This window comes from Homo sapiens, chromosome 6 (genome assembly GCF_000001405.40).
Source record: "Homo sapiens chromosome 6, GRCh38.p14 Primary Assembly".
NCBI classification, from domain to species: domain Eukaryota; kingdom Metazoa; phylum Chordata; class Mammalia; order Primates; family Hominidae; genus Homo; species Homo sapiens.
Genome location: NC_000006.12, coordinates 47303042 through 47319165, shown reverse-complemented (window position 1 = coordinate 47319165; position 16124 = coordinate 47303042). Strand labels below are relative to the sequence as shown.

Genomic DNA, 16124 nt, shown 5'->3' with positions numbered 1-16124 from the left:
TTTTCACACCAACTCTTGCAATGAGGGACAAATGATTTAAGGTTGTGAGAAAAGCTTATGGCAAAATGAAAACATTACACATGTGGGCTCCAAAGCAGATACGGAATGGGCAATTCCAGATGAGCTCTCTTTTCCACAGTGCTTTACCTTTTGCAGCTTCTTTCCTAAGAGAAGGGAAATAAATTGCCCCACTGTTCTTGGGAGTGGGACAGAGGTATCTTATCCTCAAGGGATTGGCCATCTTAGTTTTCAAATTATTTCTTTCTTATCATCCAAGAAAGAAGGAAGCTTCTGGAACTGTGCCTGCTTTGCAATTCTATCCCCATTTTATCTTATCCAAGAGTGCCATCTTTGTAGCATGTCACCATGGAGACTTGATCAAACTCATGCTCATGCACTTAATCTTGCAATCTGTTGCTGACTGGCTGATGTTCCTTGTTAGGCCAAAGAACAGCAGGTTCTTAAATGAATTCTTTTAAAGAACCAGAACTGCTGACATATGTTTAACCCAAGTCTGGTACATAGCACTTTAGTAATACACAATATTAAATCTGTTATTGTTTGGATAGCACAACTCAGGATGCTTGAATTAAGACCTGGAAAAAGAAAAGGCACATCGTGTGTGTTAACTCTTATGCTGCTTGTCAGATTTTCCAAGTTTATTTCATTCAACAAATATTTACTGAGCTAGGTAACTATCTCAAATCTCAACTATGGAGATATGAAGATAACTAAGACACGGACTTTGACCTCAAAGAGCTCAAAGTCTGGCTGGGGACACACAGAAATAAAGTAACTATAGTATAATATCATGTATGCTATAACAGAGACACATGGAACACACAAGAGGAACAACCAGTTCCAAATGGAGGTAGAGTAGGTGAAGAGAGATCATTAGGAATGGCTTCTCAGATGCGGTGCCATTTGAGTTTGATCTAAGGGTTGATTCATGGGAAGGGAAATGAAAACAACTCCCAACAAAGGCTTGGAAGCACAACAGGAAAAAAGTAGTTAAGGAACAGAATAATCAAATGGGATTAGTGTGTAGAATTTGGGGTAGGGATCCCTGGGGATTGGCAGGCAGTGGGGATGGAAAACTAAACTGGATATAGGAAGTAAAGGCTCTATGTGCCATATTGTAGCAATGCGGAGGGTTGAATCATAAGCAGTGATCAGAATATGGGTAGTTTTATTAGGACTTTGAGCTTCAAATTAAGAATAATGACGATTCTGCTGGATTTTTGGTGGGGGACGAACATGATCAGTTTTGTATTCTGAAAAGCTCATTTTCCTTAGCATATGAAGAAGAGATTTTTGCAGGACGAAGAGGTCCAGACAACACTAGAGGCAGGAAGAACAATCATGACGTTTGGGTACTCATCTAGAAAAAAGACCTAGAGCAGAAGGGATATTGTGAAGGGGCAGGGGACAAAACTGGTAGAGATAAAATTAAATTAGAATCGATTGAGATAAAATTATCAGGTCTTGGTGACACATGGAATGAGAGGGATGATGGATAATTAAGTCTTAGCCAATGAGAAGGCTTCCCAGAAGGCACATATGACAATTCAGCTTGACCAGAACTTCAGTCACATGGCCATGCATAGCACAATTGGAAGCTGGGAAATGTAGTCTTTTTTTCTGGGGAGCCATGTGATCAGTTGAAAATAGGTATACACTTATCAGCGGGATAAGGGCAATCTCTACCACCCATATCTGTATTATAGCTGCAGTATTTTAATCATCTTTTTACTTTCTCTCCTCTGGAGACTTTGAAGATGAGACTCTTCAAGGGGAGATATTGTTATCTACAGTAGCCAATAGTGCCGGGCACACAGTAGATACATAGATACTTAGTATGCATTGCAATGAAACAATCTTGCCATTGGTTTGATATATTTCTTTTTTTCTTTTCTTTTCTTTTCTTTTCTTTTCTTTTCTTTTCTTTTCTTTTCTTTTCTTTTTTCTTTTCTTTCCTTTTCCTTTTCTCCTCCCTCCCTCCCTCTCTCTCTCTCTCTCTCTTTCTTTCTTTCCTTCTTTCCTTTTTTTTTTGACAGAGTTTCACTCTTGTCACCAGGCCGGAGTGCAGTGGCGCAATCTCGGCTCACTGCAACCTCTGCCTCCCAGGTTCAAGCGATTCTCCTGCCTCAGCCTCCTGAGCAGCTGGGATTACAGCTGCTTGCCAGGATACCTGGATAATTTTTGTATTTTTAGTAGAGATGGGGTTTCACCATGTTGGCCAGGCTGCTCTCGAACTCCTGACCTTCCAAAGTGCTGGGATTACAGGAGTGAGCCACCATGCCCAGCCTTGCTTAGACATATTTCAAGTTCTTCCGTCTGAGTTTAGCTTCAGCTAATTTATGCACCTTTTCTATACTCACACCTTTTCCTGTTGGGACCAGGCCCCCAAAATCTGGTCATAAACTGGCCCCAAAACTGGCCATAAACAAAATCTCTGCAGCACTGTAACATATTCATAATGGCCCTAACGCCCAAGCTGGAAGGTTGTGGGTTTACAGGAATAAGGGCAAGGAACACCTGGCCCGCCCAGGGCGGAAAACCGCTTAAAGGCATTCTTAAGCCACAAACAATAGCATGAGCGATCTGTGCCTTAAGGACATGCTCCTGCTACAGTTAACTAGCCCAGCCTATTCCTTTAATTCGGCCCATCCCTTCATTTCCCATAAGGAATGCTTTTAGTTAATCGAATATCTATAGAAACAATGCTAATGACTGGCTTGCTGTTAATAAATATGTGGGTAAATCTCTGTTCGGGGCTCTCAGCTCTGAAGGCTGTGAGGCCCCTGATTTCCCACTTCACACCTCTATATTTCTGTGTGTGTGTCTTTAATTCCTCTAGTGCCGCTGGGTTAGGGTCTCCCCTACGGAGCTTGTCTTGGCAAGTGGCATCCATTGTGGGGGCTTGAATCCAGGTTGAAGGGTCGCTGGAATGATGGTTGGAATGGAAAACTGAAAATGGAGGATACCTGAGTACTCTTAAAGCAATCCCCATGGTGAGTAAGAAGGGGAGCTCAGAAGTGTCAGGGTAACAATGGGACAGGTGTGGGGTCTGGTTCGTTTCACCTTGGAACTTTTTCACACTGATGATGAGGAGGAACGAGAGTATAATGAAGTAACAGAAGAGGTTACAGACCAGGTCTATGTGCCAGCTAAAGCTAAAGCGGCAAAGGAGGGAGAGGTTCAACCCTACCTTTCTGCACCCCCTCCTTATTATTTTGAAGAAAAGACCCTCCAGATCTTTCTTTTCCAGAGGACACTGGGCAAAAAGTAGTTGCCCCAGTGACTGTTAGAGCAGCGCCTTGAGCCACCACTCTTAGTTCTATTCAGGCAGGAATTCAGCCTGACAAGAGGGTGATTTAGAGGCTTGGCAGTTCCCTGTTAGAATACACCCCCCAGATCAACAGGGAAATATTATAGCTACATTTGAGCCTTTTCCTTTTAAATTCGGGAAAGCACATTTAGTTGATTATATCAAGGCCTGTGATGGTATCGGAGGTAATCTGCATAAAGCTACTCTGCTAGCACAGGCAATGGCAGGACTGAGAGTGGATAAAGGAAATACTCTATTTCCTGGACCTTGTTTTAACTGTGGGAAGCATGGTCATACTAAAAAAGAATGTAGAAAAAATCAGTGAGTCAGGCTGCCAGATATGGGAAAAAAGAAAACTGCTGATCCTGAAATATGTCCAAATTGTAAAAAAGGAAAACACTGGGTTAATCATTGTCACTCTAAGTTTGATAAAGATGGGAACGCGATTTCGGGAAACACCATGAGGGGCCCATCCCGGGCCCAGGTCTAAACCGGGGCATTTCCAGCTCAGGCCATTCCTTCACCCCCGTACAATGTCTGTCGCCTGCCACAGCCAGTAGTGCCATGGTAGATTTATGCTGCACAAAAGCTGTGAGCCTTCTGCCTGGGGAACCCCCGCAAAAGGTCCCAACAGGAGTCTGTGGACCCTTGCCAGCAGGGACGATAGGATTACTTTTAGGAAGGTCTAGTGTAGGTTTAAAAGGGGTACAAATACATACAGGAGTCATTGATTCAGATTACAATGGGGAAATTCAAATTGTTATATCTACTTCTGTTTCCTGGAAAGCAGAGCCAGGAGAGCGCATAGTGCAGCTCCTGATTGTGCCATATGTGGGAATGGGAAAAAGTGAAATTAAATGAACAGGAGGATTTGGAAGCACAAATAAACAAGGCAAAGCAGCTTATTGGGTAAATCAAATTACTGATAGACGTCCTACCTGTGAAATAACTATTCAGGGAAAGAAATTTAAAGGCTTGGTAGATACAGGAGCAGACATGTCAATCATTTCTCTACAGCACTGGCCGTCCACGTGGCCAATTCAACCCACTCAATTTAACATGGTTGGGGTTGGTAAAGCCCCTGAAGTATATCAAAGTAGTTATATTTTGCATTGTGAAGGGCCCGATGGACAACCTGGGACTATTCAACCAATTATAACTTTCTGTACCTATAAATTTATGGGGAAGAGATTTATTACAACAATGGGGAGCACAAATTCTAATTCCAGAACAATTATATAGCCCTCAAAGTCAACATATGATTCATGAAATGGGGTATGTACCCGGAACAGGACTAGAAAAAAAAATTTGCAAGGTTTAAAAAGTTCCCGCCAAAGATTAGGATATCATTTTTGATGGCAGCCATTGTTAAGCCTCCAGAACCTATACCTTTAGAATGGTTAACAGATAAGCCAATTTGGATAGAACAATGGCCGCTAAGTAAAGAGAAACTGGAGGCTTTGGAGAAATTAGTTACTGAACAATTAGAAAATGGGCACATAGCTCCAGCATTTTCTCCTTGGAATTCTCCAGTTTTCGTAATTAAGAAAAAATCAGGTAAATGGAGAATGTTAACTGACTTCAGAGCTATCAATTCAGTTATATAACCTATGGGAGCATTACAGCCAGGATTGCCTTCTCCTGCTATAATTCCAAAAAATTGGGCTTTAATAGTCATAGATTTAAAAGATTGTTTCTTTACTATCCCTTTAGCTGAGCAAGACTGTGAACAGTTTGCATTTACAATTCCTGCAGTAAACAACATGCAGCCTGTTTTCATTGTTTTACAGATGGGTCTAGTAATGGTAAATCTTCTTATTCTGGATCAAAAGGTAAAGTTTTTCAGATGCCCTATACTTCAGTTCAAAAAGCAGAGCTTGTAGCTATAATTGAGGTATTGACTGCTTTTGATATGCCTATTAATGTGATTTCTGATTCTGTTCCTATAATTGGGGCAGAATCAGGTTTACAAAAAAATTGGGGCAGAATCAGGTTTACAAAAAAAATTGGGGCAGAATAGGTTTACAAAAACCTATTTGTAAACAGGATTGGACCCAGTTAGAAAAAATGAACGTACTTGTTTAGGAAGATTGCATTGCAGAACAGGCAGAGGTGCTGCACAACGATTCCTATGGAATCATTATTAATTCGTCCCCTAAGGGGACGTTTAGCTTGAATTGCACCTCTCAGTCTGCATGCCACGGCCACACTATGTTCAGATGATCTGAACAAAACGGTCAGATGGTAGAAATGATAAGAACTACGGCAAAAGTTCCCATTACCTGGAACCATGGTGGTATAGCAGCACCTCAGCCTCAAATGATATAGCCCGCTCTAGGAGCTTAACATAAGGAATTAAAATTAAAAGAACAAATGTTTAAAGCATCGCAGGCACACCTGACCTTAATGCCAGGAACTGGAGTGCTTGAAGGAGTTACAGACAAATTAGCAGCTAGTAACCCATTACAATGGATAAAAACACTTGGAAGCTCTGTGATTTCAATGACGTTTGTGCTTTTAATCTGTGTTGTTTGTCTTTGTATAGTCTGCAGATGTGGAACCTGACTCCTGCGAGAAGTAGCTCACCATGACAAAGCTGCCTTTGCTTTTATCGATTTGCAAATCAGAGAAGGGGGACATGTTGGGAGCAGGCCCCCCAAAATCTGGCCATATACTGGCCTCAGAACTGGCCATAAACAAAATCTCTTTTGCACTGTAACATGTTCATAATGGCCCTAACGCCCAAGCTGGAAGGTTGCAGGTTTACAGGAATGAGGGCAAGGAACACCTGGCCCACCCAGGGCGGAAAACCACTTAAAGGCATTCTTAAGCCACCAACAATAGCTTGAGCGGTCTGTGCCTTAAGGACATGCTCCTGCTGCAGTTAACTAGCCCATCCTATTCCTTTAATTCAGCCCACCCTTCGTTTCCCATAAGGGATGCTTTTAGTTAATCGAATATCTATAGAAACAATGCTAATGACTGGTTTGCTGTTAATAAATATGTGGGTAAATCCCTGTTCGGGGCTCTCAGCTCTGAAAGCTGTGAGACCCCTGATTTCCCACTTCACACCTCTATATTTCTGTGTGTGTGTCTTTAATTCCTCTAGCGCCACTGGGTTAGGGTCTCCCCAACGGAGCTGGCATTTTCCTGCCAACTTTCTGTCATTCCCTCATAGATCGGCTCAGGATGTTTGTCATGCAGCAGTCATTTCTCAAAATGTGGACAATTGTTATTTTCATTATAAAGAACATGAAATTTTACTAGACCTTCTGAAAGTGTGCAGGATAAGTTAAAAAAATAATTAAGACAAGATGGTAAATCTGGTGATTTCTTTTTTTTTTTTTTTTTTTTTTTTTGAGACGGAGTCTCGCTCTGTCGCCCAGGTCGGACTGCGGACTGCAGTGGCGCAATCTCTGGTGATTTCTTCAGTATCCAGATGTATATATCAGATTTTTAACAAGAAAGATAAAATAGAAAAAAATGAAAGGTTAGGAAAGCATTAATTGGAATGTACTAAGGACGAGGAAAGAATTAGCAATGATTTTTGAGGTTGGAAAACTAGAAAAATTGTACAACATTGGCAGAAAGAGAGAAAGTCCAAAGGTAGGATGGAGGGTGGAGATAGAGTAATTTTTATGGCAAAGATGACATTGGATTAACTCATTTAGGCCTTCCTTTAAAATTTAGCTATAATTATGATTTATCAACACATATCTCCTCTTTCCTTGGAACTTTGGGAGAAACTTCCTTATGTATCATTGAATTTTTATCCTTTCCCAGAAAACAGACATGTCTAAGTTACCACATTGAAAATGTGGCAATGAATTATTTAATGGTTGCAGCATTGTTACTTCAAAATGGAAGGCATGTATACATTTCAATTCAAAGTAATAAAATTTCACACTGCATCTAGATTCAAATTATCTATAATCTATCACTCTATAGAGGGACATGTATTTAAATGTTAGTAGTAAACAGAATTGAGTAAATTTTTTCATCTCTCAAAATGTATATTAAATTTCAACTTGATATGATCAATGGAACACCAGGAATTCATGAAGTTTCAAAGTGGTCCAAGCACAAATAAACAATTTTCTTTTAGTTTTAGGAAGACAAATAGTTGAGAAGAACTTCTTATACCTGCATAGTAACCCAGACACTAAACTCTAAAGTTGCCCAACTCTTTAGAGCAAATCAATCATATATTACCACGAAAAATGTGAGTTTGGATGCAAGGAGTAAAATGGACTAAATAAAAACGTATTTGAAGCTCCTCCTCCTCTTTAATACCTATGTAACTTCTTAAAAAAAAACAACCCAACCTTATAATAGTATTGGCCAGTCATTTGAATTTTTGAAGAAAAAATTGATACAGTTATGCATGAAAACACAGCATCTATCCCTCACTCTTTCAACTTCTGAAAATAGCTAGAGAGTGGCAAGTCCAACCATCATCCTTTCCCCAAAACTCCATAATTAATGGTAATATTTTCTAGAACTCCTTTGAATTTCACTAGAGGTTATATATTGTAGCTTTTTTCCCACTCTAACATTTATAGACAATACTGACAAATGTTTGAAATAATAGATTGGAATTAACCCTCATATTAATTTTAGCTTCTACCAAAGTGTGCATAGAGCAAAGAATCAAAGGACAACATGTTAACTAATAAAGCAAATAATTGGTACCTATGACTTAGCAAGTTACCTTTATTAGCACTGGGTGTTGGATCTTGAAACTGATAGTTTAAAAAGTGTGATTCTTTTGAAATGGGACCAAAGGAGCCTAGGATAAGCCCAGCACCATAGGGCTCCCAATTGAGGGGTGTGGACTGGATGGCTGAAGAGGTAATATCAATACAGTGTGCCATGTGCTGTCAGTACCTAGATGATGGATAACACGATACCAGAAATGGTGGCCACAGTCAGGAGACTCGGCCTTCCCCCAGGTGAAACAAAGAAAAGGATAACAGCTGCTCTCTTACATTCAGAAGTGTGTGAGATACCAACATCCACGAGAATATTCCAGTTCTCCTTCTGAAGCAGAATACTACCTATTCTACCACCCACATCCTGACAAGGCCTTTGGAAATCAACTCAAAAATTTTTAGCATTATTTTTTGGGGGAAGGGTGATTAAAAAAAATCTCAGGGATAATCCGATTCAAAACTCTTGATTTTTAAATTAGGAAAATGCATCTTTTGATACATTTCAAGGAGTTCAAAAGTCCCTCCAAGACCATCCATGGACCCAACACCAATGACTCTGGGTTTTAAATCCTTTTAGTTTGGATTTCCTTAATTGCATTCATAAGCCCATATTAAAATTAAAATATAAAAAATTAAAATCTTTGCCCCATATTAAAATCACCCTGAAAACTTAAAAAACAAACAAACAACAACAACAACAAACCTCAATGCCCAGACCAGATCCTGTCCTGTTCCAATTAAATCAGAGTCTCTAGAGGTGGGACCCAAGAATCAATATATATGTTTTGAACTCTCCAGGTGATTCCACAGGGCAGCAAAGTTTGAGAAGCAACACACAGGTCTCCTTTTTCGTCACGCAGTTGATCTAAGTGCTCTGTGGTCTATTCACCATCGCTCTCTGATTTAATCATCGTGTCCGAAACAATGGAAAGGCGTATGTAGCTGAAATAATTTAGTTGGAATTATCTCGGAAAAAATAAGTAAAGTTAGATCAGGAGTGAGATGCTTTCTCAGCGCTTTCCCTGGGTCAACAGGCGCGTGCAATTTCCTCAGCGAACGCCAAGGGGCACCCTCTCCCTCCCCGCTCTACCTGGAACGCCTTCGCCTTTCCAACCGCACAAAGAGCCCGGCCTCCTCCCGGGTGACATCACAAAGGGCCGGTCCCCCGCCCCTTCGGCGCCACCACGTGTGTCCCTGCGCCCGGTGGCCACCGACTCAGTCCCTCGCCGACCAGTCTGGGCAGCGGAGGAGGGTGGTTGGCAGTGGCTGGAAGCTTCGCTATGGGAAGTCGTTCCTTTGCTCTCTCGCGCCCAGTCCTCCTCCCTGGTTCTCCTCAGCCGCTGTCGGAGGAGAGCACCCGGAGACGCGGGCTGCAGTCGCGGCGGCTTCTCCCCGCCTGGGCGGCCGCGCCGCTGGGCAGGTGCTGAGCGCCCCTAGAGCCTCCCTTGCCGCCTCCCTCCTCTGCCCGGCCGCAGCAGTGCACATGGGGTGTTGGAGGTAGATGGGCTCCCGGCCCGGGAGGCGGCGGTGGATGCGGCGCTGGGCAGAAGCAGCCGCCGATTCCAGCTGCCCCGCGCGCCCCGGGCGCCCCTGCGAGTCCCCGGTTCAGCCATGGGGACCTCTCCGAGCAGCAGCACCGCCCTCGCCTCCTGCAGCCGCATCGCCCGCCGAGCCACAGCCACGATGATCGCGGGCTCCCTTCTCCTGGTGAGCGCTTGCGTGGACCGGGGGTGGCGGCGGCGCCGGAGCAGAAGGAACCGCTCTCCGGGAGCCGGGCGGGTCACCGGGCCGGGGCTTAGGGAGGCGCGGGGCCCGGCCGACTGGGTTACGGGCACTGAGGGGTTTCCAAGGGAAGGCAACACACCAGAGGGCCTCGACTAGGTTATTTGGGGGAATCTCAGGGCTCAGCCGGGGCTGGGGAATGAAGACGAATTGTTTTCCTTGCAGTCTGGCTTTGCTGGAGGAGACGCTAGAGGTAGCCGCCCAGCTTCTGCGCATTTGAGGGCTTTTCCCCCTACTCGGCCTACCTCGCGCTCCCCACGCCCGCAGCCACAGCCCCCCACCCATCGGCCACTGCCCCTCTGCGTGGTGTGGGGCCTCGCCGCGGTGTGGGGCTCCCACGGCCGGCCGAGGCCGGCGCTTTGTTGCAGCTGCAATGTCATGTCGGGATGCTACCGCAGTGGAAGACAGTGGTACCGGTGCGCGCCGGACACCGGAGACCTCCGGGTGCTGTCGCGCGGTGCATTCCCGAGCAGGGCGCAAGCCGCCCCCTCCTCAATCCCTTTACCCTCTCTCTTCCCTCTTGGCTCGGGTGGGGTCTCAGGTTCTGTATGCCGAAATATCACCCTTAGACCCACTCTCCGGCGCCTCCAAAGCGCCGGCTTCCAGCCAGCCAGCGCGCCGGCACTGGAATGGGGGGAGGGGGAAGGAGATGTGTGTGAAGGAAGATGAATTTTCTACAGTCTTTCCGATCCCTCGTTTACCTGTGGCTAGGCAGGTGACCCTGCAGGGTGGTGCAGTCTCCCTCATCGTCTAAGCTGCATCCACATCTCGGGTCAATCATCTTGACCAAAAACTTACCCTCAACTTCCCCCAAATTCCCTCCCTTTATTTCCAAATATTGGGGTGAAGGGGCAAGTTAGGTGGAAGAAAATTTGAGATCAAACCCTTGAGCTTCCCTTGCCTATCTTTTATCACTGCAGGAGGGATGGAAATTCTTAGCTAAAAACCGAACAAAAAAACCCCCAAGAAACAAGAGCTTGTTTTCACGACAGGGCTGTGTAAGGGAAAAGCAGGCTTGCTGTCTCCTTCCCCAAAAGGGCTTAACGCCTGGCCAGCCAAGAACTGCTTAGATCTCAGGACATTGCAGTTGCTATGGCCTGGGAATTCATCCTACAGACACTCTGGTTCCTTGTGTGTGTGTTTTAAGAGGAAGAGAGAGACTAAATAAAAGTTTGTTACTGTTAGCATTTATAATGAGGCAAGTCCCAGTCTCCCTTCAGAAACTCTTTTCTGCCCACTTATTAATGGCATGGCCAAGGTTTATATCTTTGAAACAAGTGAAACAAGTGTGGTGGATGGTAAGCAGTAGTCGGGGAGTCTCTTGGGACAATGAACCTGGATTGACAGTCTTGGTGTGGAGAGAAACACATCTAGGTCCATGGGAACACTGATCCTAGTTCAGTGGAGTGAGAACTATCATCATTTCCTTTTTCACAGCTTTAGATCCACTACTATCCACTACTATGTTTCAGGTGCTTCTAACACATCTGATTATTATATGCCTCACAGAGTCCATTCCCAGATTAAATCTTAAGTCATTGTGCAATACTCCATTTATTTTACCTTTTAGCATGAGGTAGGTAATTAAACAAAGGTCTTGATGTAATCAAATGGTAGGTTGCCTTAACTAACTGAGAAAGGGCCCAGCTCCTTTTCTTGAATCATCAGGCTAGGCACCCTGGCTTATGCCTGTAATCCCAGCGTTTTGGGCGGCCAGGGTGGGAGGATTGCTTGAGTCCAGGAGTTCGAGATTTGCCTGGGCAACATAGTGAGACCCCATCTCTACAAGAAATTAGGTGGGTGTGGCGGTGGTGTGCGCCTGTATGCCCAGCAACTCAGGAGGCTGAGGTGGGAGGATGGCTTGAGCCCAGGATGTTGAGGCTGCAGTGAGCTGTGACCATGCCACGGCACTCCAGCTTGAGTGACAGAGTGAGACCCTGTCTCCAAAACCAAAATAAAAAATAAGTCATCAAACTCAACCTACCCTAAAAATTGTGCACTGGATTTGCAACTAAAGACCTGACAATTTAAGTTTGGCTACTTTGAAAAAGATAAAATTTATAATGGGGCTTAGGAGCAGTCTCAAGTTGATAACCAATACAGGATTCCTTATTCTTCTGCTAGCTATGCTAAAAAGACTTCAGGTAAATTCATGAAATGGCATGAGGTTCAGCCCTTCATCCTGAAGGGTGACTGGAGGGTGTGCCAGGAATCAGTAGAGACTATGTTATAATCCCCATCCAGGGTGGGGAGGAAATGCCTTTTGTCTTTCACATTCTTATTCTGCATGCCCAAGTCCACAGCACAGGCTTTGTTAATGTATAAAATGATGATCTCATGATACTGTTCCAAGAAGTATTTATCCCATTGGGATCCTTGGCCATGTGAACATAACGGACATCAGGTACTGGAGCCTGGGTACACGTGGCAGGGTACTCAGAACACTACTGGGGGAGGTGGGCAAGTTAGTGGCCTGCCCACGTATTACAGTTAGATTAAAAAGTAATAATCCCAGTAAAATGTTCTATTTATTATGTCTTTTAATGCTCTTCTTTCAAATATCTCCCTTTTTGTGTGATAATATTTATTGTCATCATTTTTGTGTTATGACTTTTTGTTTGTCATGACCGGCTAACTGCATGAAAAATAGCTTACTATAAGCTTATAAAAATACAAATATATAGGTACACAATATGATATAATATATACACATGTATATAGCAATTGTATATGTATAGAGAGAGCAATTGCTACATGCCAGGTGCTTTGTATACAGTATCTCATTTATTCATAGCATCTTTGTGAAGCAGGTGATATTGTCTCCTTTTTATAGTTGAGAAAATGGAAGCTCCCAGAACTTCATTGGTTTGTCCCAGGCCACACAGCTTGCACGTGATATTGCTGGGGCCAGAACCCAGGACTGCCTGGCTCTTCAGCTCATGTCCTCCCTTAGCCCTGTGCCACACTGCGTGTTTCACAAGTCCAAATTGCTTGATAATGAAATGTAACAACAGAGAAGGCTCACTGGGGAAAAGTTAAGAAGGTGGTTTGGTTTGTTACAGAACGTGAATGAGAATTACAGGAATGCCTTTGGAAGGAAGTATTCTTGCTGCTTGCACTTCTATTTCTGATGAGTGTCTGCATGATAATAGAAAGTAAAACATACACTGAAAGACAAGAGCTGGGTTCAAAAGTCTGGGGCTCAGGTGGACAAAACATTCTTGTTGCTCGACACCCAGTAAGTCTAGTGTGCATGATTGTGCTTTGTCTTCAGAATCTAAGCTTACCTTCCACCATCTTGACTTTACCAATTGTACTATTCTGCCTGAGACACTTACCCTTGCTATATCATATCTCTGTAAGGCAGAGACAAGATCCATGAGAGCTTTAGGTTTGTGCCAGTGATAAGGAATGCTCTAGAATGGCTTGCCCAGAGTGACACTACTTAGTCAGAGATGCCCCTTGCCCTCGGGGAGCTCGCTTTAACTGCATAGGTAGGATTTTGGCAGTGAGGCCCTCAGAAGAGAAGGGAGCCATAATTGGTAAAGATATGAGGTCTGAAGTTTTAGAAAACTCTTTTGCAAGCATTATGAATTCCAGATAGAGGGCTATTTGCTGTTATAGCCTGTCCAGCTGTGCGTTTGCCTAGAAAGTGCCAAGTAATAGTGTTTTTCTCTGTTACTGAAACTAGACATGTAGCTTAGTGCTACCTCCTGACCATCATTTATCAAAGTACATTACCTCGTACATTGGCAATTCACTTTGGCTGTTTGGGCAGGTGTGGAGTGGTCTGGTGGGGGCTGAAGTTCTGAATCATGTCAAGACTTGGTGGCAAATTCGAGCAGAACTTTAAATTAGAGCTGATATTATATCCAAAAGATTTTCTCTCTCCTATATATCTTAGCTCTACAATCCTAGAATGTGAAAGCTGGAAGGGAGCATAAAAAATACTGATTTAACACCCTGTATTTTTTGGTTGAGAGAAAAAAAAATACTCTACTGGGGAAGTGACTGCTTTTTCATGTTTACAAATGAAACTGCATCGAGCACCCTTTCTAAGTGAGGCACTATTCTGGGCAGTGGGAACCCAGGGATGAATTGGGATTTGGATCTTGCCATGAAGGTACAATTCGTATGGTATATAAAATGAGCATGGCCATCACCAGTGCTGGTTGGGTTTTACTCGCTCATGTGGAATCACTGGATGAATGTAGTATACTTACCTTAATACACAAAATATGATTGATGTTAAAATCTTTAAAATACCTGAAGTAACTTTGGCTCTTAGTCTGAGAATAAGAGAAAAAAAAGACTTTCAAATCTGAGAATGACATACGTTAGCCTCAGTAGAGAAAGCAACTTCTAATCAGAGGAATGGGGAGCGCAGAACCTGTGCTGGAATGCAGGAGTCCTGACCGACCCCATGAGTTATCATTACAGTCAAAATGTGTATAATGGAATTGAGCTCTGTCATCTGAACTGTTTCTGAAGGCATATGTTTGAATCTTCCCCAAGTCCAGTACAAAACAAACACACCTCTAGTGTAAATAAACTACACAAGTAAATCAAATCAGCAATAAAAAAAATTCCTCGTAAATGGGATTTAAGGACTACCTTAAGTTGGGAAGGGAAAAAAGGGAGGCTTGAAAAGGCATATATCCACCAAATTCCTGCATGACATATTTTAGTGTGGCTAAATGTAGACAAAGTCTATCAAGCAGGATATAGTAAGCACAGTTAATGCTGTATATTCTGGGGCAGTTTGAAGACAGTCCTTTTCTCCAGGTATGCTATTATTGGGTCAGAACAAATAGGTGGGAGCTTCTGGGCTGGCTCTGGCAGGTGGTCTTTGTCCTTTCTTCATTGTAGACCAGAATGTGGAGACATCACACTTTAACTTTGCAGGCAACTATATCCACGAAGATGAGAGGTGAAGCCTCTTTGGAGGCTGCATAGACAGTTTGCAAATTAATTTTGTGTTCAGCTGGTCCTTCATAAAGCATGTAAACTCTAATTGCCTTAAATAAACATCTTTTTTTTTTTTTTGGTTTTTTTTTGGTGACACGAAATGATCCGGTGCATTATCAGATCATTACTATTCAGGGGCTGGTATGAATTGAGTGACTTTTCCTTGTGCTTATTTTCCAGAAAGCACTAATATTCTGTTGGCTTTCTTTCCCCAAGCAGGCCTGGCAAATTCCGGTGATGCCAGGTCACCAGCAACTTCTTGGCAAACTCAGGTGCTTCTCTTCTGTGACAAGAAGAGCCCAGGTTATCTCAGAGCTTTGGGCATGTGTCCAGTGATCACTTGGAGCTGACTCAGTGTGGACCATTAGGCAAAGATATGTCTGTTTGACAGAATGACAATGGGAGCCATAATAGGAATCAATTTGGTTCCCAAAGTTGGATCCTCATTTAGCATTAGCAGAAGGCTGGGCCTTGTGGCTGTAGCAGCAACAGCTGCTGAGCTTTGATTATTTAGGATAGGGGCGAGATCATGAATAAATACTGGCCTTGCCCCAGTGTTTGTGTTTGTCAAATACCAAAAAATAAAATGGGAATCCTAAATTGGCTTGCATGCTGCCACCCAGCTTTCTTACCACCTTCATTTCTAGCCTGAATCCAAGAGGAGAGGAGCTTGGGTAGAGGTTATAACCCAGGAGGAACCTGGCAGATATCAGTGAGTACAGGCAGGACTGAGGGCTATACAGAGGTGGGGTTCACTGATACTTAGGCTGTTGACTCAAAGCAATAGTAAGCAATAGTGATCTCAGTGAGATCAGTGAGCAGTAGTGATCTCACTGTTCTTGAGAGGTGCTAAAGGCCACCAGAAGATTTTCTTGTCAGTATCCTGGCTTTGGAGATGACAGATGTGTGCAGTGGTGGGAAAGTTGCGCTCAGAGAGACCTCAGGCAGGTGTGGGACTGAGCAGGGTGTGGGTGGGGATCAGAACATTGCCCTGTGGCTTCATATTTAAAAATTATGCCTAAGACTTTGTGCTACACAAAAATAAAAACAAGAAAACTAAGGGGGGCACTTAGTAAGCTAAGTCATAGCAAGGCTCATTATCTAATCTTTATATACTTTTCTATTTGTTCGTCTCCTGTCAGTACTGCTGTGTGGCTCTGTTGCTTGGTGCCCTTGCAAATCTATCTGTTTTGGGAAAAGGAACATGAGCTTAATGGATTTAGGAGAGTGGAGAGGAGTGAGTCCATGAGTCCAGGAATCAAATGAGAGCAGCTGTGGATTCAATAGGGCTTCAGCTCTGAAAGCCCAGAGGGGAGGAATAAGCAAGTGGG

General features: G+C 43.6%; 1 protein-coding gene across 1 annotated transcript in view, besides 5 other annotated features; it reads left to right on the top strand.

Annotated features, from left to right (window-relative positions):
• Positions 8999–9293: an enhancer, noted in NCBI's record as "tiled region #4111; K562 Activating DNase matched - State 4:PromP". NCBI's record gives its function as "activates a minimal TATA promoter and a strong SV40 promoter by Sharpr-MPRA in K562 cells {active_cell/tissue: K562}" and the evidence as "EXISTENCE:reporter gene assay evidence [ECO:0000049][PMID:27701403]".
• Positions 9245–9424: an enhancer, noted in NCBI's record as "active region_24659". NCBI's record gives its function as "activates an Ori minimal core promoter by ATAC-STARR-seq in GM12878 lymphoblastoid cells {active_cell/tissue: GM12878}" and the evidence as "EXISTENCE:reporter gene assay evidence [ECO:0000049][PMID:35858748]".
• TNFRSF21 (TNF receptor superfamily member 21) overlaps positions 9261–16124 on the top strand; it is a 78374-nt gene continuing 71510 nt past the window's right edge. The window contains exon 1 of the mRNA NM_014452.5: positions 9261–9750. Within this exon, the coding sequence (NP_055267.1) occupies positions 9655–9750 (96 nt within the window). The 5' untranslated portion in view covers positions 9261–9654. The remainder of the gene's footprint in view (positions 9751–16124) is intronic.
• Positions 9565–9794: a silencer, noted in NCBI's record as "silent region_17274". NCBI's record gives its function as "represses an Ori minimal core promoter by ATAC-STARR-seq in GM12878 lymphoblastoid cells {active_cell/tissue: GM12878}" and the evidence as "EXISTENCE:reporter gene assay evidence [ECO:0000049][PMID:35858748]".
• Positions 9565–10310: a biological region, named in NCBI's record as "H3K27ac hESC enhancer GRCh37_chr6:47276592-47277314".
• Positions 9588–10310: an enhancer, noted in NCBI's record as "H3K27ac hESC enhancer chr6:47276592-47277314 (GRCh37/hg19 assembly coordinates)". NCBI's record gives its function as "activates a minimal SCP1, AML or CMV promoter by ChIP-STARR-seq in naive H9 embryonic stem cells {active_cell/tissue: H9 hESC(naive)}" and the evidence as "EXISTENCE:reporter gene assay evidence [ECO:0000049][PMID:30033119]".